Source organism: Homo sapiens, chromosome 2 (assembly GCF_000001405.40).
Source record: "Homo sapiens chromosome 2, GRCh38.p14 Primary Assembly".
Taxonomy (NCBI): Eukaryota; Metazoa; Chordata; class Mammalia; order Primates; family Hominidae; genus Homo; species Homo sapiens.
In genome coordinates this window covers 102,714,106-102,740,452 of record NC_000002.12, presented here as the reverse complement: position 1 = coordinate 102,740,452, position 26,347 = coordinate 102,714,106, and the positions used below count along the sequence as shown (strand labels likewise).

The 26,347-nt window shown below is 41.9% G+C and overlaps 2 protein-coding genes across 15 annotated transcripts in view, besides 1 other annotated feature; one reads left to right on the top strand and one right to left on the bottom strand.

Annotated features, from left to right (window-relative positions):
- The window catches only part of TMEM182 (transmembrane protein 182), a 106,904-nt gene extending 103,386 nt beyond the window's left edge, over window positions 1-3,518 (bottom strand). For all 5 annotated transcript variants that reach the window (XM_017003376.2, NM_001321343.2, NM_001321344.2 and 2 more), the window contains exon 1: window positions 3,440-3,518. The gene's annotated coding sequence lies outside the window, so the exon portion shown is untranslated. The remainder of the gene's footprint in view (window positions 1-3,439) is intronic.
- Window positions 3,449-3,658: a silencer, noted in NCBI's record as "silent region_11834". NCBI's record gives its function as "represses an Ori minimal core promoter by ATAC-STARR-seq in GM12878 lymphoblastoid cells {active_cell/tissue: GM12878}" and the evidence as "EXISTENCE:reporter gene assay evidence [ECO:0000049][PMID:35858748]".
- SLC67A2 (solute carrier family 67 member 2) lies at window positions 3,565-25,823 on the top strand. Of its 10 annotated transcripts, none has more exons than NR_136174.2 (7): window positions 3,565-3,807; window positions 8,044-8,131; window positions 9,385-9,428; window positions 13,479-13,608; window positions 16,575-16,753; window positions 21,246-22,263; window positions 24,412-25,823. NR_136174.2 is itself a non-coding variant. In NM_032718.5 (6 exons), the coding sequence occupies exons 1-6, from the start codon at window positions 3,643-3,645 to the stop codon at window positions 22,031-22,033; spliced, it is 1,425 nt and encodes a 474-aa protein (NP_116107.3). In that variant the 5' UTR covers window positions 3,565-3,642; the 3' UTR covers window positions 22,034-25,823. The 10 variants fall into 10 exon arrangements, 6 of the variants coding, with proteins under 6 accessions (NP_116107.3, NP_001309010.1, NP_001309009.1 ...); XR_923047.3 differs by having other exon boundaries at window positions 16,544-16,753; NR_136173.2 differs by adding an exon at window positions 8,315-8,429 and having other exon boundaries at window positions 21,246-25,823.
- The last annotated feature ends 524 nt before the right edge of the window (window positions 25,824-26,347 follow it).

The following is a 26,347-nucleotide window of genomic DNA, read 5'->3' as shown; positions in this document are numbered from 1 at the left end:
AAGCAAACATGTCCTTCTTTACAGGGTGTAGCAGCAAGGAGAAGTACTGAGCAAGAGGGGGAAAAGCCCCTTATAAAACCATCAGTACTCTTGAGAACTCACTCACTATCACGAGAACAGCATGGAGGTAACCACCTCCATGATTCAATTATGTCCCACTTGGTCCCTCCCACAACACATGGGGATTAAGGGAACTGCAGTTCAAGATGAGATTTGCGTGGGAACACAAAGCCAAAACATATCAGTTCATATTCCCACCAATTCTTGCTACAGTATTTTACTCATTAACAAATCAAATGACACATAGTTACATGCAGTACACCATAAATGAGAATGGTCATCTTAATAATATCTAGTCTCCCAGTTCACAATCACGTTATATTTCATTTATTTTGAAATTTTTCCCATTTCTGAGCAATATTTTTCAGTGTACAGGTCTCTCTTGGGTCTTTGATTTTATCTCATCCCATTCACCCCAAGTAAGAACTAAGTTAGCCTATTACAATTTCATGAATGCCAGCAGAAGACATAGGACGACTGGATCAGAGACAAAGGATTTTATCACTCATGACACAGCGAGCAGCATAAACATCAGCATATTTGCATGAGTTTTCCATGCCTCTACATCTCATGGAGGTTGTATTAGTCCATTCTTGCATTGCTATAAGGAAATACCTGAGACTGGGTAATTTATAAAGAAAAGAGGTTTAATTGGCTCACAGTTCCACAGACTGTACAGGAAGCATGGAGGCATCTGCTTGGCTTCTGGACAGGCCTCAGAAAACTTACAATCATGGTGGAAGCAAAGGAGGAGCTAGGCATCTCACGTGGCAGGAGCAGGAGCAAGAGAGAATGAAGGGGAGGTGCTGCACACTTTTAAACAACCAGATCTCACAAGAACTCCCTTACTAACTCACTATCATGAGAACAGCACCAAGAGGATGGGGCTAAACCATTCGTGAGAAACCACTCCCATGATCCAATAACCTCCCACCAGGCCCCACCTCCAACACTGGGGACTACAATTCGACATGAGGTTTCTTGGGGACACAGATCCAAACCATGTCAGCAGTGGACCCATATGAACGCTATACATCAAAATTGAGGAACACTGAGCTTGGGGTATTCATCATTGGTAGGCTTTCTGTTTATTTCATTCCCAGGGATGCTATAATCAATTAGCCATAGTCAAAGATCCCTGCAGGTCAAGGCATTCTGGTGACTGGTACACTCCTGCTGACCTTAAAAGTAAATGTGTCCACCTTGTCTTCTGAGTTTAAGTGCTATGACCTGGCCTCTGATAATCTGGAAATCTTTTCCTCATATAATCAGAGAGCTTATCTTAAAGGTGGTATCCTCTATGGCTATACCTGGCCTACAAAAGAGAGCAATCGCAAATCTTTTCAAAACTGCAAGTGCATCTCTCACTAATACATTCCTCAGTGCCTTAGTGCAGGAAGTGTCGTCTTGGCCTCTTCGTGGAATATATTTGAGTATTAGGCTTGCAAGTCATACATAATAAATCCACTCTGACATTGTCATTTTTCCAAAACTTTTGGAGTCCTTTATCCACATTTTGCCAGGAAAACTCTGGCATCTGAACATCATTAAATATAGGCCATCTTTGAGTCTAAATTTCAACCAACTGACTAAACTACTAGAGCTGCCTCCAGCTGCACAAGCTAACATATTACATCGGTATATGTTGTAAATGCATCTATACTAGTGAATTCTGCCTAATTTAGTGTTATATTATTCCCTTTTTTTGTCTGACACCCTTAGAAATCTCTCCCCCAGGTTTCTAAAGTTTACATTGATTATATATTAGCAGAGACTTCCAAATCTTTTATTATTATTATTTTTACACAGAGTCTCCCTCTGTTGCCAGGCTGGAGTGCAGTGGGGCGATCTCAGCTCACTGCAACCTCTGCCTCCCGGGTTCAAGCTCTCCTGCCTCAGCCTCCCAAGTAGCTGGGACTACAGGCGCGCACCACCACGCCCAGCTAAATTTTTTGTATTTTTAGTAGAGACAGGGTTTCACCATGTTGGCCAGGATAGTCTCGATCTCTTGACCTTGTGATCTGCCCACCCTGGCTTCCCAAAGTCCTGGGATTACAGGTGTGAGCCACCGCGCCTGGCCGTGACTTCCAATTCTTTTGGCGTGTATGAGATGTCCTCCTAGGTTATAATGTGTACCTGTCACCAGAGCATGCTAAAATTTCACCCTAGCTATGTATTTAGTAGCCACAGTGAGTGGTTTTAATGGGTTAACATGAGCAGCCCTTTCAAGGCGCCTTTCCCAGATGAGTTACTCACAAAATTTCAAGCACAAAAAGACTAGTTTCCTCAGCTATAGGAGAGCAAACTAGTTCTCCTGCAAAGGAGTCTCAGAATAACTTGGGGGTTCACGATTGACAGTTTCACCTGGATTCAATTATATGTCTTAATTCTAAGTATCAGTATTCCACTTCTCCCTATTCAGTGCCACCTCCCATGAGAAACTTTGCAACACTGAATTTAACAGATCTCAGAATTAGCAACCTACACAAGTAAATTGAGATTTTGAGCAAAATCTCAGTAAAATGTCAGAGTCTTCTTGATCCCACAGTGAAAGAGGAATAAATAACAAGTTCTAAAGAAAAGAGGGGCTAGTCACTATTGTTAACATTTATTACTTACCATGTGTCATGGGCTTTGCTAAGTAATTTAAAGGCATCTTTTGGTGTCATGCACTCACTTAATTCCTTTCACTGCACTCAGAATAAACCCCAAATCTCTGTTATGGCCTTCTGGGTCCTAAATGGTCTGCACTCCTGCTGACCTCTCAGTTTGATGAGGAAGTTTCAGCCACACATATCTTCTTTCCACTCTTCTCAGCTTACATGTCACCTCCTCCAAACTGCTTTTCTAAAGTAGCTCACTCCCCACCTCATTACTTTCCACATCAAGACCGTGCTTCTTTATATTATCACCATATTATTTTACTTATTTTATGCTTTTTCATTGCATGTTTAGTATTTTTATTTATGTTTATTTACTGCGTGCTTATTATTTTTACTCCATGAGACTGTAATCTCAACTCAGGCATAGACCATCTATGGTTTGTTCACATTGCACTGCACCAGAAAGGATCTTAAGAAGCATGTGTAGAATTCTCACACCTCTAGAAGTTGGACTACATTATTTCCTACTGCTTTTTAAATAGGCAAACGAAAGCTTGGAGAGCCACGTTAACGTATCCTAGGTCTGTCACAACCAACTGGTGGCCAGGGTCTGTGGATCTTCAAGCTGGAGTTGGTCACCTCCTAGCACAACTCCATAGGAGGAAGTGAAGCTCAATACAATTCCCTCCTGTCCTCCAACGATAGGGGCAGCAGGGTCTGTACCCAGAGGAAACAAAGAGCATCATCATTATCATCACAAACTGGTGTGTGCTTACCGTATTGATGATGTGCCCAGTCCCCACCTTGCCTGAGACCAGAACTCCCAGCCAGCACCGGCCACGCACCCGCGGAGCTGCCAGGTAGCACCCGCCCCCTCTCTCTGCGCAGGCGCGCGCCTCCTGCTTCCGCTCGGGGCGGGGCTGGGCTCCCGGGGTAGGTCCGCGGCTGCTGCTGCGTCCGACCCCCGGCCGGCGCGGGTATGGAGCTTGGGGGTCACTGGGACATGAACTCGGCCCCGAGGCTGGTCTCGGAGACCGCAGAGCGGAAACAGGAGCAGAAGACAGGAACCGAGGCGGAGGCTGCCGACTCCGGTGCCGTCGGAGCCCGCCGCTTCCTGCTCTGTCTCTACTTGGTGGGCTTCTTGGTGAGTGCGAGCGTGGGGGCTGGGAGCAAGTGCTGACTGTGTTCGGGCCTGGGGACCCAGGCGGTTCTTGGAGCTTCCGGGGAGCTCCCAGGGAGTGGGAACCCGCAGTCCGCCTGGTGAGTGCCTCACTACCTATCAAGCTCTCCTCTTGCCCTATCACCCACTTCAGTCTGCATCTGGCCACACTGCTTTATTGCCCCTCGCGCTTTCTCTTGCACCCCGTTCGCGGAACGTCTTCCCTTCCCTGCCTTTTGAGAAGCCCTGGTACCAACCTCAGGTGTGACCAGGTGTTAAATGCTGTGGCAGGTGCAGCTTTTGCAGGGCGGAGAACAGGGGTGTGGGCAAGCTTGGAAAAGCCCAGCTGCTGTGCGGCTGCTGGTGAGGTAGGGACACGCAAGCCTTTTTACCAGAACAGGCAGGGGAGGCCGCTCTTGACCCCGCTTGGACAGATTTAGGCACATTTTCACTAGGATTCTTGGTTGACTTAAATATTAAAAAATGCAGATCAGAGTGAATTTTACCCATCTGCCTTTCGACAAACTGCGCATTGCACAGCGTAGGTTTGGTTTCATCATGATGTGTGTGCCTGTGGTTTGCTTTTTTACCAGACCAGGCTGGAGAAGCCGCTGTTGATGACCCCACTTGTACAGAATTGGGTGCATTTTCACTAGAGCTCTCGGTTGACTTGAATGTTTAAAAATGCAGATCAGAGTGAATTGTACCCATCTACCTTTGGACAAAGGGTGTGCATTGCACAATGGCGGTTTGGTTTCATCGTGTGTGTGTGTGTGTGTGTGTGCGCGCGCGCGTGTCCTGGTTTGCTCCCTGAGTGCTAATTTCCCACGTAGAATGGAAAGTTTAGTAAGCTGATTCATGGCATTTCTGAACACCTGCCATGTGGCAGGTGCTGCGGAGCTTCACTATTGTAATCCACAGTTCTGCCACAGAAGAATTCAGTCTTACAAGTAAGCTGATGTTGGTAGTTTCTGGGCCATTATCTGCAAGAACCCTAGATCCACCTCTGCACTCCTCCCTTTCCAAGGCTAGGCCTGATTCAGCCCTGAGTGTGAGCTAATCCAGTATCTTGAGGGTAAGGAAGCTGCGATAAGTGTCAATGGGAGAAGGCTGCCTTTGAGGCCTTGAAGATAGTATCTGATGGCACTGGGCCCTGGCAGGGAGTCATCGTTTTCTGCCCAGATGCAGATCAAGACCACCACTTCTCCCAGTTTCATGCACTCTCCATGCCACCACCTCCATGCAAGGCGTTCAGTTGGTAGCAACTCTATGTTGAGTTAATAGTTAAGATCACCATGAAAGCATGTTCATCAAATTGCTGCAAGCCCAGAAACACAAGGTCTTCAGGGAGGGCGGCTTTTTAGAGAGGATTTCTCTGCCTCTAGGCCATTGCAGGATCCACCCTCCAGCTCCATGCCTTTAACTTCAGAGACTGGCACTCCTTCTGACCACTATTCCTTTAATCTAGTAGTTCATTCTCAGCATGGGGATGCTTCTTCTACTTTTCAGTCTAGGCACCTAGAATTCACAACCAGTGAGTATGGGTGGTTCTTGGAGAGGAGTTGGCTGACATCCAGCCTTTTTAGTTATGGGTCCCAAGCTACTGCTGTCCTGTCTCAGAAGGGACTTGGGCTGGTTCAGCCAGATGAAAACATTTGAGCCCTTACCTGGAAAGTCCAGACTAGGGTTCAGAGAATTTGACTTAGAATTCAAAGTAGTTTTAGTATTAGAATAAAACAAAGCAATTCGCAGATCATTTGTTAAGGTCAGCCTTCCAATACAGATTTGAATATTCACAATTTATCATATGTTTTCTTTATGCTGTGTATTTGGCAAGTCTAATCTAGCAAGCCTGATACAGAATTTTAATAACTTTAATAATGTATTCAAGAGAACCATTAGGTGTCTCATATCTTAAGGGAAAAGTTTATGGTTTCCCAAAAGTTGAAAGAGTAGGGATTTTTTTAATGGAAAATATTGTAAACAATTAAATATATGAAGCTTTACATGAAAGTCACATAAAGCTACCTAACAGATGATTGTTAGGTAACATCTAAGGAACATTATACATAATTTAGTTTTTTTTTGACATATTTAGGGATGTAGAGACCTCTAAGATTCTTGGACAAATGGTTTCTGAATGGGAGAGGAAGGGAACAAGCTTAGAGAAGTCATTTGCCAAATTGTTCTGTTTTAGCAGTTATCCGTACTTCCAAGTTTTAATTTGTTTAGGAGGGAAGACCAAGATGACCCTTGAGGCCCGTTTTGTTTAGGATGCTTAGATGGTGATGAGATCTATTATTTCAACCACTTTTTTCCTCCAGATACTTGGTGAGATTTGTTTTCCATCCCATCAGCTTTATTCAGGTGATAATTCATTTTCATTGAGATAGTCCAGTAATCAATAATTACTGGGGTTCCTACCCTGAAAAGAGTCTTGAAACTTTTGAGTGTACATATTCATCAATTTTTATTGAAAAATGTTGATATTCAGTGAAAGTTTAAGTGGCCCCTTCTGACATGATCTTTTTACAAGTGGTTACATGCACATGACCAGATGCCAAATGCAGCGATTTTGAAGAAGCTATGGATTGAGAAGCAGAAAGGAGTTGCCTTTTATAGTAAAGGAGAAGGCAATTTTAGAACAGAACTTCCTGAGAGGAAAGATTCAGTGGCCAGTCTCCTTGGAAGAATATAGTACTTTTCAGACTCACCAAGTGCTAAAGTAATACCAATCATCAGTTATTGCCTTTGAGTCTGTATTTTCATACTTACCTTCCATAGAGCTCAGTCTCTTGACCTAAATATTTCTCTCCATCTCTTATTTAGGATACCCATTTTATTAAATGATATGTTGTACTGGGACTTTTTTTTTTTGGAAAAAAATGGTTATTGGACAATTGAGTTTCCTTTTCTGAAAGATCCAGAAGATTCAATAGGTGGCTGGTACATTTTGAGTCTTTTAAATGTGTAAACATCAGTGGGCTGATGAGATGCAACTGACAGCAAAGCCCAAAAGAAATGGACTCAGACCCAAAGGAAATTTTAAGTAATGGCAATATTGAAATAATAAACCATCACTCTGGTAATGTAATTTTAAGAGCTAATTATAGTCACTTGATATTAGATAACAGGGTCATCTAAAGATGTAACCATGGAAAAGGCCCACTGAAAAGAGTATGTGGAAATTTATGTATCTATAGTTATATGAATGTACAGCTACCAGGACAGGGAAGGGGGAACAAAAGATTAACTCTGAGCTCAAGGAAAATACATATTTCATGCGAGTTCTTTCTTTCCAACTAACCAGCTGTATGAAAGAAGGAATTCAGGTCGAATATAATGAAAACTGTGTGTGTGCAATGTTTTTTCTCCCACTAAACCAACTGTAGCAGGTAACCTAGTGAGAATAAGAACAAAATTAAAAGAAAAGTTAACAGTCTGTCTATTAACTCAGAATACCTAGCAAAAAGGACCTGTCCTTATCCCCAGAACTGAAGAAGGGAGAAGACATGTTTGAGCTTACATTGTTTTATTAGGCCTTTCTCAAGCATTATGCCACTTAATGCTCATCATATTTCTACCAGGCAGGTATTACTGTTCTACCCTTTGCAGATGACAGCACGGAAGCTTGGTAACTTTAAGTAGCTTTCCAAAGACACATGTTTAGTAAGTGATGGAGGTGGAATTGAGAACTGTCTGCCTGACCCCAAAGCCCATTCACTTTCTATGACTTAGCTGCAAAACACTGGCCTTTCCCTAGTGCACCAGCTTCTTCCTTCTTGCTTTACTGAGCCTTTCTTCTCAGGTATTATTTTATAAGCTTATAAACTACAGGTCCTAGGACATTAGCCACTTTCGCCAACTCCAGAAGGAAACATATTTTTAAGCAAGTGCTGGTTCACCAATAAATACAAATTATGACTGCATTTTTTCTTATGACTTATCCACAGAAAATATGGGGTTTTTTGTCTGTTTTGTTTGAGGAACTTCTGTAGCATATCCTCCTTGAGTGTAAAGTTAAAACGGATCCCAGGTCAGACTAATCCAGGCATTTGCAAGTGGCAGCGGATTTGTATGGCATGCTATGGAATCCAATTATGATTTCTTACGTGTTTAAAATTTTAGATATTGGTTTTATTTTTTAAATTAGTTTAAATTTTTAGGTTTACTAGTTTGAAAAATACTAATTTGAGTCCATCAGCATTTATTTTGTTTTAGGATTTGTTTGGTGTCAGCATGGTTGTGCCTTTATTGAGCCTTCATGTCAAGTCCCTTGGAGCAAGTCCAACAGTTGCTGGAATAGTAGGTGAGTGGTCGATATTGCTCATTTTTAGAGCACTGAATTTTAAATCCTCTGAACCAAGTACCTGAAAACAATTCAATTTTGTATCCAAATATTATCCAAAGGTAAGTGGGAAATGAGATAAAACAAATTTCCAGAATATTTTAAAATATTACCCTATAGCAAATGCAATTCCTTTTTTTCTAGACGACGTATGTTCAAAGAGATTTTGAGATTTGAGCACTATAACCAAGTCCCATGCCACTAGTGGCAACAGGTACTTATGGAGCCTCTGCAAGGAGCTGGCTGTGTGTATAAAAGGGTAGGTACATGTGGACTCCTGCCTACAGGAACCCTTAACCTAATGTGAGAGACCAGGGAAACATAATCTACAGAAATCACATCTCGTGGGAAAGGGTTTCGGTGAACATTAGCCAATTAGTTGCAAGCTTCTCACACCGTCACCAACACATCATAGATATTGTAGAGTTTCTCTGCCTGTGCAGCTTAAAAATTCCATCCAGAAGTCATTGATTTACCAAAAAGGCAAGAGACAGCAGGGCTTAGGACTATGCTAACTAATGGGAAATTGTTGAGACTAACAGCTCTTGATCATTCACAAGCCAAACAAGCAAGTGTTTGTGGACAGTCTTGTACATAATATTTGTTAAATCATGGTCCATGCCGTGATTTGTATTTCCCTCGACAAATGTACTTGGAATTACACTGGACCACCCAGCAGTGTGAAGGTTTTTGGGAAAATCAGATAGGGCACATTGCATGATAATGGAGGTAAAAGAGCTCTGTAAAAAAAATATAAATTCTTTATAAAATAAATCATTTTATAAAACCAGTACACATTAGAAATATAAGAGACAATGTTAAGATTTTAAGGCTTAGTAGGGTTTTTCCAGAATTTAAATTTCTATTCCCCTGAGTACTCTCTATGCTGTTTCATAAGTTGAAGCTACACAATCTCATATGATGGAAGGACAATCATACAGCGTCCATAACGTCACCTTTTGCCTTTTTTCTCTCTTCTGTTTACCCTCAATTTTTTGAAAACCTTTTGTTAGAAATTGTATTACTTCCATTTTGTTAGAAATTGTATTACTTCCATTTTTCCAAGTAGAAAAAAAAAAGATGTGAGATAATTTAAAACAAAAAGGTATCTTACCCTAATGTTTTTCTGTTGGTTTCTGTGTAATTGTTATCACATTAATCCATTTTTGTGATAGCTCTAGCTGATTTTATTGTTATTGATTTGTTTTTTACAGGCTCCTCCTATGGCATTTTGCAACTCTTTTCTAGCACATTGGTGGTAAGTTATGATCACATGTCTCATCCATCACAGATGTAGTAAAATTGGGGACTTGAAGTTTATCAAAAAGTGATAGATTTGGGATGAGAACACCTTTAAATTGTAATATGTTCTTCCTACAATTCCCTGCTTTTTACAGACAAAAAGAATGTAAACAAAAGTTATTATCAATTTTAGGCTGGGCGCGGTGGCTCACGCCTGTAATCCCAACACTTTGGGAGGCTGAGGCGGGTGGATCACGAGGTCAGGAGATCGAGACCATCCTGGCTAATACGGTGAAACCCCGTCTCTACTAAAAAAAAAGATACAAAAAAATTAGCCAGGCATGGTGGCAGGCACCTGTAGTCCCAGCTACTCGGGAGGCTGAGGCAGGAGAATGGTGTGAAGCCGGGAGGCGGAGTTTGCAGTGAGCCGAGATCGCACCACTGCACTCCAGCCTGGACGACAGAGCGAGACTCTGTCTCAAAAAAAAAAAAAAATGTTATTACCAATTTTATTATTTATTACACTTCATTGACAGTAATCAAATCCATTTATATTTCTGCTATTCTATTTAAAGTTGTGTATTTTGAACTAAATAAAAGCTTTTTTATAAGACTTAAGTGTATAGACAGAAGGGGACATTTGGATTGGCTGATTGTATATGTGCAGCATGGAGTAGAAAGATCCAGAGGTGGCCAGGCATGGTGGCTGGCATCTGCAGTCCCAGCTACTCAGGAGGCTAAGGTTGGAGGATCGCTTGAGCCCAGGAATTCAAGTCTAGCCTGGGCAACATAGGAAGGAAGACCCTGTTTCTAAGAAATCAAAAAAAAGAAACACAGATTCAGTGGCGACCTTGTCAGTGCCCTACTTCTGACCACTCAGTTGTTTGAATTTCAGAGACCTTACCTGATGTCCCCTTCTCTCTCCCTGTAATGTCTACTGTGATCACTCTGGTCTGGAGACCTCAGCGTCCAGTGGTTCAGGCGGTTCAGTAGAATAGTCTATTTAGTCTCACAATTGATCAGTAGTGACTTTGGTCTCAATAGCTGGCCTGGGGGTCTCATATTTAATGAACACAAAGTGTACTTATGTTTCCCAAGAGTTGCTTCCTTGTAAAATATATTTTTAAAAGAAATTCAGTCAGATTCCATAATAAATTCTTAAATAAGTAAACAGCTACTTCCTGATTTATTGAAGTATTTCATATATTAGATTTCCATTACAATAATAGTTTTAGCCTCATTTAAACTTTATAGTAACCCAGCAAAGTAGTTTGGTATCTTTCTTTTATATAGGAGGAAATTAAGACCAATTAAGACCCACATAGGTTAATTTGACTAAGCTACCTAATTTCAGTATTTAGACTCTAAGCCCATATTATTTTTTTTCTAAGAGTCATCTGTCATTGCCTTAATGATATAAAATGGTAAATAGGTAACTAGAGTTATCAGATTGTACAGGAGAGCAGTGCACTTGCTTGTCAAGCAGAATGTCGTATTTCATGTTCTTTCTTGTGAGAGAAAAGTTTGAGTTACATCTTAGTAAACACCTTTTCTCTTTATTTGTAAACTCACTCCCAAAATATCTGATGTGTGTATCTGTTAGAGCTATTAGGTCACAGTGTATGTTAATTCTTTTAATGTTTTCTCTTCCTGGACTCTGGTCTTCCTGAGATACAGACCAGGCTTACTTGCTTAATTTTTTTATACTCTTACTTATCAGAGTACCTGGCAATAGTTAGCACTTTATAAATGTAAATTTTTATTGCTAACTATGACTCTACCCTTTTTTTCAGATTTTCCTTTGTTGTTTTATGTTTGTACTTACACAGAACATTTCATATGTCTTTTAGCTGAAATTTAATGAAAACCTTTCTTAGAAAGCCTTAAGATACAGAAATTCCTAGTTAAAATTTCCTTTTTAACCCATACTTCTGTAAGCACATATTTTAATTATAAATTTTACCAAAAAACTTTTAATTTTGAGAACAAATCTTTATACAGAAAAAGTATATTCTGTCAGATTTGGCTAATGTTTTTAAATAAATGTATTTTAATAAAAAATGATCCACTTATTAAGTACCTATGTGTCAGCCCCTGTTTTGAGAACTTTATTTCCTCTAATCCTTATAATAACCAGCCTCAAAGGGTGGTTATGGGTCTTTAATGACTCATTTTATATTAAGCACACAGAAAGTGTTGAGTGGGGAAAATAATCTCTGAGGCAGATATTATTCTTGTTTTACAGGTAGAGAGACTGAGGCATAGAGAGGTTAGCTCATATGTCCGAGGTCATGGTGGAAGGAATGATGAGTTCAGCGTTGAGCCCAAACAGCCAGGCTTAGGGCCAGGGTGTAAATCCCAGATTATACCACTGCCCTGTGAGTACAAGGAGGCCAGTAACCCTTTCCCCAGATCAAAAGAGTATGGGGAATTTCTAAAATTCATTGAAATGAAAATTGGGGAGTAGGATTGAAGACACCTATAGAAGGATGACAGTATTTTGGAAGGTTTACCTTAAAAATATTTTATAGAGGAAGTTTACATCATTATGTAAAGGGATCTTTCGGCCCCTTAAGAAAAAGATAAACATATCAATAAAAATGGGGAGAGGGCATGAACAGCTACACTTGGCAATTGGCATGCAGTAGTGGCCTGTGAGATTCCTTCCATGGTTAGTGGAGAGGGTGAGGAATGGTTGTGGAACATCACTGAGGAAGGAGGGACGCAGGAACCAGCCTCAGTCACCTCCTAGCCGGGACTAATGGAGACCAGCCCATTGTACTGGAACTGGGGGTCATCCAGGGTTTCACACAGCATGGGGGACCCTGTTTCTTAACCCTTTTACACAGTGCTCCATTGATAGTATAGTGTTTAGTAATTGTTCTTTTAAGGCAGTGACTTTTTTTTTTCAAACATTGCTTCACCCAGAACATCAGTGTGTGAAATGGCAGGCTTCCTCCTAGGCCACCTCTGTGGTCTTGCTCAACATCCTTACTTGCATAGAGTGTTCAGAAGGGAGCTACGCCGGGCAGGTTTCTGAGGCTTCCCAAATGTGGGAATTCTAAGGGGACAGAAATGCTGCCTTACCTGCCTCTCTCAAGAGAAAATGCAAATAGTACACAAATTTTAAAAAAATTATCAGGAAAAAAGGCAAACATAATTTTAAAAGATGCTGCTTAACAAATCTGTAGATTTTAAACATTGACAGTAGCAGTGCTGGTTGAAATACAGGGAAATGGAGACTGTTACTGTTCTAATTACAGTATATATGGGATTACAAATCTTTCCAGAGAGTAATTGGTCAGTATATGGCAAATGCCTAAAAAAAATGCCTGCATAGAATTGGAACAACTCCAGTTCTAGGGGTTTGTTCTAAGGGAATTTTTAAGGGTATCTGTGGAGAATTTGCTATGAAGATGCCTATTGTAGCGTTATTTATATTTTTGACAAATTTTTAAAGAGCAAAAATCTAACAAAACTATTTGTTAAATAAATATTGGTATGTAGTGGAATAAGGAATGTGATTAAAATGGTAACAAAGGCAAAGTTTTAATAACATGGAATGATGCTTAAGTCATATTAAGTAAAAAAGCAAGTTACAAAATAGAGCATATTGTATGACCACTTTGTTAAAATATAGGTACATTTAGGATTATGAGGTATTTTTGTATTGGTCATTTTGTTTTTCAGTATTTTCTAAATTTTTTAAAAATGTACATGGTATCTGAAGAGTGTAGTTTTATAAAGTAATGAGAATGGAGACAATAATGAGGCTTTATAAATTATACTTTATCATCTCTCCTGCCTTTCTTAGCTACCAGATCATCAGACTTTTTTGTTTGTTTGTTTTTGGACAAAAAAAAAAATACATTGTGTTTTTCCATTCACTGTGTGTGAAGATCAGAGAAAATAACTTACTCTGACAAATGGCATCATGGAACTGAGCATCTGAGGATCTGACACTGAATCTTCCATTGTTTTCCCCTGGTCACTTTGTTTTGGTCATTTGCATGGTGGTAGTCGTTACTGTGAATGGGGTCCAAGGGCTTTTTCTTACTTTCCTCAGGGCTGCTGGAGCGATGTAGTGGGAAGACGGTCTTCCTTGCTGGCATGCATTCTACTCAGTGCTCTGGGCTATCTCCTTCTCGGAGCAGCCACCAATGTGTTTCTGTTTGTCCTGGCTAGAGTCCCGGCAGGTGAGTGACTTTTTTTTTTTTTTTTTTTCAAACGTAGCTTCCCCCAGAACCTCAATATGTGAAACTGCACGCTTCCTCCTGGGCCACCTCTGTGGTCTTGCTCAACATCCTTACTTGCTTAAAGAGTGTTCAGAAGGGAGCCGTGCCTGGCAAGTCTCTGAGGCTTCCCAAATGTGGGAATTCTAACAGGCAGAAATGCTGGCCTGTGTGTGTGTGTGTGCGTGCGCGAGCATGTGTGTGTGTCTATGTCTATATCTAAAGCCTGTTCCTGCTGGACATTGCCTCTTTGATTAGCACTTACCTAAAGTGCTAATTACAATGGCAGTTGTGACTATAACTGACACCAGCAGCTGCTGGCCATTGAACATTTAGCATGGGCCAGGCACTCTGCTATCTTGACCAAACCTGGAGTCGTACTTGACAGAGCCCCTTGCCCCTCAGAGCCTGTCAGCGTGAATGATCACACTACTGTATTGGGACTTGTCTCCTTCCTGTTTATCTTACTCTACATCATTCAGTAAGAATTTGTTAAGTGTCTTTGGCCAGCACTGAGGTTCCTGTTCTGTCCCTTGGTGAGCCTGTAGTTTTGTAACTGGGCTTCCTCACATCAAATTGGGATTCACTTCTTTAGCTTTCCTGTGGCCTCCTTTTGTCTGACTGTCAGTTAGCGGGGACACTGGGATTATGATACAGCAGCTTGTGGGCGAGTTTGCTGTTTCCAGGCTCGTCTGGACTGTTTTTAACATTTTGAACTAGCTTTTATTTTGTCCATTTTTTTGAAACACCTCCTGTGAATGCGGCGTAGCGCTTGGTGGGTATATTATTCCTGTAGAAGCTCTTTGTTCTCTCTTTGCCGTTCTTAGGAATTAGAGGAGTTTCAGTGTCTCTCTTACTGTACCTGTCAGAGCACTGGCAGGCTTTGCTACCCTGCTTGACAAGTCAGGGGCATTGGGCACCATCTCGAGTTTTGTTAAACTGCTTGCTTTTAACTGACTCCCCAAATAAATAGAGCATCAGATAACTCATTTTAACATAGACGTGATGATCAGCTGACTCACCTGGGATTTCCACACCATTTCTGTGGAATATATACTTTTTTCATTTACTCTGAAAGTCTGTAGAGTTCAGCCCCCCCAACATTCTTAACCATGCCTTTTTGTTGACTAGATAAATGCTTTGTGAAGGTCTTTGCTTAAATGTGGTCAGTTGTCTTTACAAACCCCAGTACCACACAAAATCCAAGTGATAGCCATTGTATATGCATCTGGTGTTGAGTTTATTGTCTTTGGTGGGCAGCATGTCTTTCTATAGTATAACACACTCCACCATTATGTGGTGTGTACTGTTCATAATTCTAAAGAAGCAGATGGGGAAGATGAATAAGAACGTAGAGTTGTTACAAAATGCATTGAGATTTGTGGGGAGGATTAAAATGTTTTATTTAATAGGAAGTGAGCCTGAGCTTAAGTAGTGAGAGTTCTCTTATATGAACCGTCACTATGATCTTCACAAATGAGAGCTATATATAAAAACTCCTCCTTGCCCATGTAACCTCCACAGTGTTGAGTGGTCTGTGAACAGGAGCAAGCCACGGGGGGCTTCACAGGGTTCTGCTTCACAAAGTCAGTTGTGGATTCAGATCCTTGTGTCCTAAAAAGGAACCACTGACTTCAAGTCAGTGCCTGAGGTTTAAGTGCCTGAGTTGGACGCCTCATTTTCCATTCCACTCTGTCCACCACCCCAACCTCTGAAAGAGAAGAGAAGCTTAGGCTGGGTTGTTCACGGGATACTCTTACCACAGTCTTCGTCCCTCATGTATGTAAAGTGAACCTGACATCAATACAATTTCAAAAAGAATCATAGAATTCCTGCGAGACCTACGGAAATCATGTTCTGGCCCAGTCCTCTCTGACATTTAAGGAAACAGGTCTAGGGAGAGTCCATCTACCTAATTCCAAAAGAGATTTATACATTTGCTTTCCAAAAAGGCTGGCCGTCAGGCACACAACCACACTACTTTTGAGGCAGAGCTGGGAATAGATTAGTAGGACGAGTGTGTTGAAGCACTCGGCGGCAGCACAGTGATGTGCAGAGTGAGACTGCCCACGGGAGATCACAGAGAAACGCTGTGTCACATCACACTTGAGTGATTCATGCAGATCCGCCAGCCGCATTTATTCAGTTTCTACTATGTGTTGATCAAAATAGTGGGCCGCTGGTTACCAGAATCTGTCAGCATGTTTGCAAGTGTGGTTGTTCTGCACGTGGGGGGTCTAGGGACATAGGAGTCAAATCCATCTGCAGAGATATGAGGAGTATAGTTGTCAGTTACTTTAATTTCTTATTAAAAGTTATATCACAGCATTCAATTTGTTCAACAAATTCACAGGCCTCTTACTGGTAGGAAATCCATTGGTATTGGTTCAGTGATGGTGCTATCAAATTTCTACTCACTCCTTGTCCTCTCCCCAGCTCCGTTTCTCTGTTCTTTGGTTTATCCTCAGGGTCAACCTTAGGGCTGGCCATAGAGTAGGCATGCAGTAAATATTGGCTCAATGAGTTAATGTGTAAAGAGTGAAAACTCGCTTTATGGAAGCCACCGTGAAATGCAAGCGTAACTGGGAGGCACTTGGGAGGTCATGACAGGAGGTAGGCAAGCTGAGGGTTAAGGGACTTGATTGCCAGAGATAAGGTGACTGACTAGGATCAGAGTGCTAGGCCAGGAGTCTAATTACGGTGGGATGGAACCGGCAGACCTCAGAAGTTCAAAGAAAAAGAAGATCAGATGCCGTGGTGGTATAGTGGTGAGCATAGCTGCCTTCCAAAGAAACCAGAGATCAGAACTCCATCAGGGATAGAGGTTAAGCACAGGATCATAAGTAAGATACTTATGGTCTGGAAAAAGTTACAGAGCATGTTTCTCATCCCCTTGCAGGTATTTTTAAACACACTCTCTCCATCTCAAGGGCTCTACTTTCTGATGTGGTTCCAGAGAAGGAACGGCCGCTTGTAATCGGACACTTCAACACAGCCTCCGGTGTGGGCTTCATCTTGGGCCCCGTGGTCGGTGGCTATCTCACTGAATTAGAGGATGGGTTTTATCTCACAGCCTTCATCTGCTTTTTGGTCTTCATTCTCAATGCTGGTAAGTTGACAATCATGAGAAGATTGTTTTGTGTATTCATACTGACCAATTTACCTACTTTTCTCTTATTTCTTTGCAATTCGTTTTTATCAGAATAGACAGACTCATCGTCCAAAAACAAAAGTCATTTTGAGGAACCCCCCCTAGTGTTTTCCATAGTGGCCGGTGCCAGTTTACATTCCCACCCACAGTGTGCCAGAGTTCTCTTTTCTATTTTTTTTTTCTTTTTTGAGACCAAGTTTTGCTCTTGTTGGCCAGGCTGGAGTGCAGTGATGTGATATCAGCTCACCGCAACCTCCCCGTCCCAGATTCAAGCGATTCTCCTGCCTCAGCCTCCTGAGTAGCTGGGATTACAGGCATATGCCACCATACCCGGTTAATTTTGTATTTTTAGTAGAGACGGGGTTTCTTCATGTTGGTCAGGTTGGTCTCGAACTCCTGACCTCATGCGATCCGCCGCCTCTGCCTCCCAAAGTGCTGGGATTACAGGCGCGAGCCACTGCGCCCAGCCCAAGAGTTCTCTTTTCTCCACATCCTCATTAACACTTATCTTTTAAAAATATGTCTGTATTAGCCCTCCTAACATGTGCGAGGTGATTTTTCGTTGTGGTTTTGATTTGAATTTCCCTGATGATTAGTGACATTGAACACCTTTTGTTTTTCCATCAGCCACTCCTTGGAGAAATGTCTATTCAGATTTTTTGCCCATTTTTAAACTTGGTGTTTTTTTGTTTTTGTTTTTGTTTTTTTTGCTGTTGAGTTGAAGGAGTACCTTGTATAGTTTGGATATTAACTCTTTATCAGATGTATGATTTGCAAATCGTATCCACTGTGCAGGTTACTTTTTGCTTTGCAGATTGTTTCCAGGTTGCTTTTTCACTTTGCTGATTTGTTTCCATTGCTGTGCAGAAGCTTTTTCGTTTCAGGTAGTTCCACTTGTCTATTTTTGGATTGGTTTTGTTGTTATACCTAAGAAATTATTGCCAAGGTCAATTTCAAGAAGCTTCTACCTTCTTTTACAGTTTCAGGTCTTATGTTTGTCTTTAATCCATTTTGAGTTGATTTTTATCTTTAATCTATTTAAGTTGATTTTTGTAATGTGATGTGAGGAAGGGATTAATTTTATTCTTCTGCATGATACATATTTTAGTTGCAATTTAAAAGGGAAATATTTTATTTTTAATGTATTTAATATAAATTTAAATACAATTATGGAAGTAAGAAAGAAGACTATGCAATCTCCTGCTACAGACCCCCAGTTGTTTCTATCATGGTAATGCACATGCCTCACAGCTGGCACAGTGGTAGGTGATGGGCAGACCCTGCCCCTCTCTCTGCCTTCCTCCATACATTCTGGCCATGCTGGCTTTCTGGTCTACCATATGTATGCCAGGCTCATTCCCATAGGAGGGCATTGTACCAGGCCTGTCTTCTACCTGCCACATTCATCCCACATCTGTTATTGGCTCTCTCTTTTCAGCATTCAAGACTGAAATATCTGCTTCCTTAGGCCTTCTCTGACCATTCTGCCTAAAAGAGCTTAATTTTCTTCATAGCATTCTTGAAATTATGTTATTAGTTTGTTTTACTGCTTACGTTCTCTTTGTTCCCCCAAATCAGTAGGCAGACTCCATGAGGGAAGAGATTTTGTCAGATTTACTCACTGCTATCACCCCTGTGCAGAATACACATTGGGCCGGGTGCAGTGGCTCATGCCTGCAATCCCAGCACTCTGGGAGGCTGAAGCGCGAGGATTGCTTGAGCCCAGGAGTTCAAGACCAGCCTGGGAAAGATAGTGAGACCCTGTCTACAAAAAATTTTTTTTTAATTATCCAGGCATGGTGACACATACCTGTAGTCCCAGATCCTCGAGAGGCTGAGGCAGGAGGATTGTTTGAGCCCAGGAGGTCAAAACTACAGTGAGCCGTGATCACACCACGGCATTCCAGCCTGGGTGACAGAGTGAGATCCTGTCTCAAATAAAGACATACATATATACATACAGACACACACACAGACACACACACACACACACACACACAGGACTATGAGCTCCTTGGATGCAGGGCTGGTTGCTTAAAATGTCTTTCTTCTTCTTCACTTAGAGAGTGGTGCATGGCTGGCCCTTGGATAAATGACTTCATAAACGAGAATTCATGCTAGGCAGTTTTCCTTACATTTAATGATATTGTACTTTACTGCAGCTTTTTGAATCTTCATATTCAAGGTTCTCTTTTGCATGATGATTTCCTTATTGGGTTAGGATGTCAGACCCAGGAAGCAAAGTTCATGAGCTTATTCTCAGTCCTCACAGAAATACATTATGATTTGTTGCCAGGAATTTACTTAGCCTGTAACTTGAATCAGGAGGGGTGCACATAAACCTAGATAAAAATCTCAAACACATGCCTCGTTGATGTGACCAGGTATCTTCACATATAAAGGAAGGTACATGAATGTGGTATCACTCAAAATTGAAAGTCAGCATATAACAAAGGAATTGGTTATGGAATTCTATTTTGGATCCTTCAACAATAGTGCCATTTAATATGTTGCCCTATCTTAAGCCTATAAATGGGTCTAAGCAGTTAGGAAAACATTCCGCTGCAAGTGTTCCCAACTACAATGGCTTCAAGGAAGAGGGACTTGTTTTTCCAACATAAGAAACTTGAGGATAGGCAGGCTGGGGCCAATAGAATAGCAGAGGAGGAGAGGGAGGATGACCTGGCTAGACAGCACATACTGTCCCACCCAGGGCTTTGGCCATTCAGTGCAGTGAACATATCATCATGCTGCTTTCTCATTCCAGTCTTGCCATCCTTTACCCCTGAATGACTATAGCTGTTTTCGTCAACGCTTTTACTCCGTTAGCTTCTTATATCCTCCTCTGATCCGCCACTTTGCCTGAGAAAGCCTTTTCATTGTGATTTCTGTTCATATGGTTAGGAACTCCAAACTCTGGAATCTGACAGACTCAGGTTCAAATCCCTGCTTTGCCAGTTTTTAGTGTGACCCTTGGGCAAATTGTCTTCCATTTTTTCATCTATAAAATGGGGTAACAAAACACATAGCCTTGTTATGAGAACTGTAAGAGGTTCTGCATACAAGCAGCTTACCCCAGAGCCTGAGGTAGGATTGCATAGACCTTGTCTTGTTTGTTAATATTTTCTTAGCGTTTCACACTTACGAACTCCATGAATATTGGAAGGTTGGACAGATGGATGGGTAGGTGGGTGGATTGCTTATAGTAAGCACTCAACAGAAGTTAGTTGCCATCATCATCATCATTTTTATTATTTTAATTCTACTTTTTTAGTTCATCAGCAATAATTCTTTCACATCTTTATCAATATTCTGTGTAATGTTCAAGGGCCCTTTTAAGATTGAATTATTAAAAGTCCACATCCTCCACATTCTCATGTGGTTGGTTTTCCGTTGTAAATTTGTCTATGGCTGAAGCACTTATACAATATTTGGAGAAATGACACACAAATGAAGTTGCTGAAAACAACATGAAGCAGCACTGAATAGCCACTGGTCTGAGTTGAACTTTTAAGTGCTCTTTAGCACTTAAAAAACAGTAGGATAGAGTTTGGAGGGATGTCCTAGAATGGCAAGTTTGAATTCAGTTTTAAGAACACTTTTGGGCATGGATTGGCAAGAGATCAACAGGCAAGAATGTGCTAGTCCTATGAGGACAGAGGTGGGATCATCTGAGTGGCGGTTAGAGCCACTGCGTAAGGTTGTATATGTTGTGGTCTATGAGAATGGTGCCCCCTGAGGTTTTGCAGGTGTGACCTGCACAAGCACTAGATGACCCTGACCTGGGGCAGATCCAAGCAGGTGCTTCCCAGGGAGAGTTGGCCAAGCTGTCCCTGCCCATCGGTCAAGCCAAGGCAGGCTGTCACATATGTGGCAGCCTGCACTTGCCCCAGCATGGCCCTTATATTGCAGTCTGGTTGCCTCTTTTCTTATCTGAACCTCTTTTTAGGTTTTAGCGTCTTGAGTACAGTGTTTTCAGAGGCCTTTTCTGTGTTAATATATTTCTATGTTTAGCACTTAAGAAGCACTCCATGAATATTGGATGTCTAGATGGTTGGATAGATGGATGGATGTTACGTGGACAGACAGATAATGAATAGGCAGAGAATTAGAAAGTTAATAAGGGAAGAATTTAAATTTATAACAATTCAGATATGAAATGATGAGATGTAGAACACTATCATAGGCTTTTGAGCTGGGAGGAAGCAGTGAGTATTTTGTAGGTATCGTGGTGTTCTTTTTTAAAGGCAAAGAGTCTTTTGCCAGAATCCTGATGTCAGAATAAAGCCATAGGAATGGTGAAAGACTAGATACAAAAATACAGACTAGTAAATTTAGTACCAAAATATAGATTAGTAATCTAACACAAATAATTGGCCCTTCCCCAAGGAGGTAGTGTATGGATTCAGTGCATTCAGATGCTTTAACCGGTCTCATGCCATTTTAACAGGTCTCGTTTGGTTCTTTCCATGGAGGGAAGCAAAACCGGGCAGTACAGAGAAGGGCCTGCCATTGCGAAAGACCCATGTGCTGTTGGGAAGGAGCCATGACACAGTGCAGGAGGCAGCCACCAGCCGCAGAGCCAGGGCCAGCAAGAAGACTGCCCAGCCCTGGGTCGAAGTAGTGTTGGCCTTGCGGAACATGAAGAACCTGCTGTTTTCCGAAATGTGGGACATATTTCTGGTGCGCTTGCTGATGGCCATGGCAGTCATGCTGTACTACAGTAACTTTGTCCTGGCCCTGGAGGAGCGCTTTGGGGTGCGGCCCAAGGTGACAGGCTACCTCATCAGTTACAGCAGCATGCTGGGGGCCGTGGCCGGCCTTGCCCTGGGGCCAATCCTACGGCTGTACAAGCACAACTCGCAGGCACTGCTGCTGCATTCCAGCATACTCACCTGCACACTGCTGCTGCTCTACTCCTTGGCCCCCACCATGGGTGCAGTTGTCCTCTCCTCCACTCTCCTGTCCTTCTCCACTGCCATTGGCAGGACGTGCATCACGGACCTCCAGCTGACTGTGGGCGGGGCCCAGGCCAGCGGCACCCTTATTGGCGTGGGGCAGTCTGTGACTGCAGTGGGCCGCATCATCGCCCCTCTCCTCTCGGGGGTTGCCCAGGAGGTCAGCCCTTGCGGCCCCCCCAGCCTGGGCGCTGTGTTAGCCTTAGTGGCCATTTTCATAATGTCTCTAAACAAGCGACACTCTAGTGGTGATGGGAATAGTAAATTAAAAAGTGAGTAGATGGATTTGGACAACATAAAGCAACAAAATTTGAGATGGTTGAATGAGGGCCGGAGGCCATGATGAAAAGGGCACTTTGGAAAGGGTTGGGGTGGAAGGGAAATATTTCCGGGTGGGTGTGAGCTGTTGGGCTTCCAGGTCAGCTCTTGGCCATGCAGCCATGCCTGCAGGATGATCAGAAGTCACGGCACCTCATGGGAAGGTTAAGACTGGAGCAAAGCTTTTCCAAGGTGAGCATATTCAGCGTTTACCTGGAAGTCTCTTCTTCCCACCTGGGCTAATCAGGTTACAATTTTCAAGGGTAAACAAACTACCAGCTACAGGATAGGGAAGTGGTGGTGGAATAAGAGAACATGATACCTGGAGGAAGGGAAGAAACCACAAGCATTTTCCTACTGAAAAATAGGGTGACATGTCAGTCAAATTCTGATCAACTGGAACTTGAGTTTCCAGTTAAATTCCATACACTAGGAGGGAGTTTTCTATCAAAATCCTGCAGATTGAAGAAGCTGGTTTATTAGAACCAGCCTGTCGCTTTTCAAAGCTGCTTAAAAATAAGATACTGACCTCACCCCTAGAGATGATTCAGTGGGCCTGGGTGGGGCCAAGAAATCCGTGGTGTTTTGTAAGCACTGCTGGCGATTTCTCATGGCAGTAAAGACCACACTGAGACTGCACTGATTTTGATTAAAGTACATAGGCTTGGCTGTTTTTACACAGCTAACTAAATTTGGACTCTTAAAATTGTGTTTGTAATCACAGTGTGTTACACCTTTCCCAGCTCTCAGCAGTTGTACTGCATGATGGAGCAGCGGGCCCCTGGGACCTGTTCCCTGTGCTCCCTGCCTCTGAGAGCCCAGCTTGCTCTGAAGTTGGACTAAACCACTTAGATGCTGGGGTTGCCACAGCCTGCTCCTGGAAGCCTGCATTCCAGTCAGGTTGCATCCTTCTGGTGCTGACAGAACCCAGTGGTGAAGCCAAAGCACAGGAATGCTTTAAAAATGAACAGTTTATGCAGAATAAGGGTCAGGAGTCATGCCAGACCAGAACTTGATGCTACTGTGTCTTGTGTTAAGAATCATTTCCTGGCCAGGCTCGGTGGCTCAGGCCTGTAATCCCAGCACTTTGGGAGGCTGAGGCAGGTGAATCACTTGGTCAGGAGATGGAGACCATTCTGGCTAACATGGTGAAACCCCGTCTCTACTAAAAATACAAAAAAAAAATTAGCCGGGCGTGATGGCGGGCGCCTGCAGTCCCAGCTATTCGGGAGGCTGAGGTAGAATGGCGTGAACCTGGGAGGCGGAGCTTGCGGTGAGCCAAGATTGTGCCACTGCTCTCCAGCCTGGGCGACAGAGTGAGACTCCGTCTCAAAAAAAAAAGAATCATTTCCTTTATTTTTAGTTTCACGCCTGCAAACACAAGCATTCTGTTGATCAACGGAAATATTTTGATGTGCCATTTCTTGTCTAAACAAGTTTCATATACAGCACCGAGGGGGCCACGAGAGGCAGAGGCCCAGACAGAAGGTGAACATAGCCTTGCAGGGAGACATATGCCAGGCAGGATGACCATTGGGATTGCATCAAGTATTAATCAGTTACTTAAGGGCTTCCTGTCAGACAGTTGAAGTTCACATTCCTTTTACTTTTCTTAATTAGTCCACTAGGATGGTATGCCTGTTTTCAACTTAACACATGCATACTTGTAAATATTTTAGTATGCTACAGTAATTTGTCATATCTTTAATATTTATTGTTTGTAAAGCAGTAAACATTTCTGTATTTTAGAAGTCATGGAGTAAAATCAAATATTTATGATAAATAATTGGAAGTATGTTTTAGTTTGAAGATTGTCCTTTTTCCTATCTTGCTGCAAGGAAAAATGGACTTCTGATTAGGTTTTACAATTGTGAACTTTTATGTAAATGTTAAGTGCTTTCGAGGAGACCAAACTATTATTAATATATAAAATGGCCTTGCCCTTAAGGAGCAAATTAAATCTCATGGAGATTAGACTCAAAAGGCAATAAATAATCGAGGGTTTATGCAATGAAATAGAATTTCAGAAGAGTTTGGATCTCAAAGATTGTCCTTCACTCTCAGAAACAGGCAAGTTTCTTAAAAGCCCTTATAGTCGTGTTTTTATTTTAAAAATCGTAGCACTTTATTTTTGAAGTTTAAAAAGCCCATAAACTTAATGAGTCTTTATAATCAGACACATGGAAATATAGAAAACCAAAGACTGATCTTAGAATATAGAGTAGAGAGACATGTTTGTTATTCTCCACTAGTGACTTTAGTATTTTGTTATGTGATGTTTTTTAGGTGCACCTTTTCTCATGACTCCTTTTACTTTATCTAATGTCTTCCTCTTTAAAGTGTGACCCAGAGACCAGTAGCATCAGCATCACCTGAGACCTGTGAACACTGAAGCTCCAGCTCAGACATGTTGGGGACCATTTTAATAAGATACCTAGCTGATTTTTTGCACAGCAAACTTTGAAAACCCCTGGTCTAAGGGGTAGTATTTGTATCACTTATGGAATATAATCTCAGGGAAATTAAATCTGCTCAATTGACATTTGTGGTGTTTCATTTTTTAAATTCTCTTGAGTAACTTCTGTAGCCCTTTCCAGTGTGTCAGGTTGAGCCACATGAAGTTGCTATTTTTGTAAGTCAAAAATATCTTCATAGGGTGCAACTCACTATTCTATGGAATCTTATTTTAGGAGTATTGAACCTTCCTGAAATGTCTTTGAAGGAAGTGTCACCCTTTCCAACACTCTGCCAGCCATAACTGCTTGGGAACAGGTCTCCAGGATTTGGGTTCCATAGAGCAGAAGGTAGGCCTCTGCCCTCATGTCTAGAGGGATGAATAACATTCTGAAAAGGTACAGGGTGTGTCTAGTCACAGGAGTCACCTGCAAGGCTCCAAACTCAGGCTGGATGGCCCCTTGGGGAGTGAATTCTGCAAGAGTTGCACCTGGGGCCAACAGAAGGAGCTGGAATCACTGATTCTGTATCCTGGCTACATGCCTTAGACCACAGGAACCAGACTCTGAAGCACCACAGATGTTTCTGTGAACATCTGGAGTTGGGAATCACTGAGTTAGATCAAGAATGGATTCGGCTGCCATGCTCGGGTTGAGATTGTATTGACGGATGAAGGGGAATGACGGAAGAATTCCTGCGGTAAAGTGCTGTGAAGACACTCCTGTTTTAGAAAGAGCTCTCTAGCCGCAGCAAGGAGGATTAACTGGAGGCCCAAGGAGTAGTCTGGACTTTGGGGCAGTAACTTTAGGGGGGCCCTGAGGGAGAGCTGGTCGCGAGGACAGGGACAGCAGGCAGAGGTTGTGGCCCACAGGGCAATCGCAGGAGAGGTTGTGAATAATTCCCAGGTGATGAGTGTGCAGCTTTGAGGAATTTCAAAGGGTTGCTTGGCGTCTTTTCCTGAAGACACTTCTATAAGGTATTTAGAAATCTATCAGGAGTGAGAATCAGTCCAGTCAGAAAATTTTAGGCATTTGGGCAACTGCATTCAGAAAACAGCTATTTATTTGGAATGCATAATAAAAGCCATGAGACTGAATCTCCATGCCTCTTTGCCCCCTAGTAGCCTTCAAGAAGTCTCTAAAACAGGGTTACCACAGATTTAGCCAGGATGATGTGTAGCAGCTTTTCTTGGAACAGGTTGATGGATTAAAATAACTTTTTTTCAGCTCTAATGTTTTTTTCTTGAATTTGCCAGTCACATGATAATTTTCTTCAAAAATAAAACTTTATAATTGTAATGAGGAACTGTCATTTATTCTTATAAGTTGTATTTTTAGAAGTCACTGATGTGTCTTGCTACATATTTCAATTCAGGATCCAGAAGTGCTTTGAAAAATGTCATCTCCAGTATGCTAGAACACATCTTAATATTAAAAACAAGGCTTTGGCTTTTAAAACCATTATGCAGATACCAAATATATATGTAATCTGACATTTATACTGAAGGCCAGTAAGTAGAGGACAGTTGATCCTTGAACAACACAGGGGTTAGGAGTGCCAAGCCCCCAAAACGGTAGAAAATTTGAGTGTAACTTTTGACTCTCTAAAAATTTACTACTAATAGCTTACTGTTGACATGAAGCCCTACCAACAATATTAATAGTCGACTGACATGTATTTTGTGTGTTACATATATACTGTATTTTTACAATGAAGTAAGCTAGAGAAAAAATGTTAAGAAAAAGAAAAATAATATTATTAAGTGGAAATGGAATCATAAGGGTCTTCATCCTTGCCACCTTCATTTTGAGTAGGCTGAGGG

Coding starts and splice junctions, on each gene's coding strand:
- SLC67A2 (NM_032718.5), top strand. CDS start 3,643: ATGGAGCTTGGGGGTCACTGGGACATGAACTCGGCCCCGAGGCTGGTC. Junction 3,808..8,043: donor TCTACTTGGTGGGCTTCTTG/GTGAGTGCGAGC, acceptor ATTTTGTTTTAG/GATTTGTTTGGTGTCAGCAT. Junction 13,609..16,543: donor CCTGGCTAGAGTCCCGGCAG/GTGAGTGACTTT, acceptor ATCCCCTTGCAG/GTATTTTTAAACACACTCTC.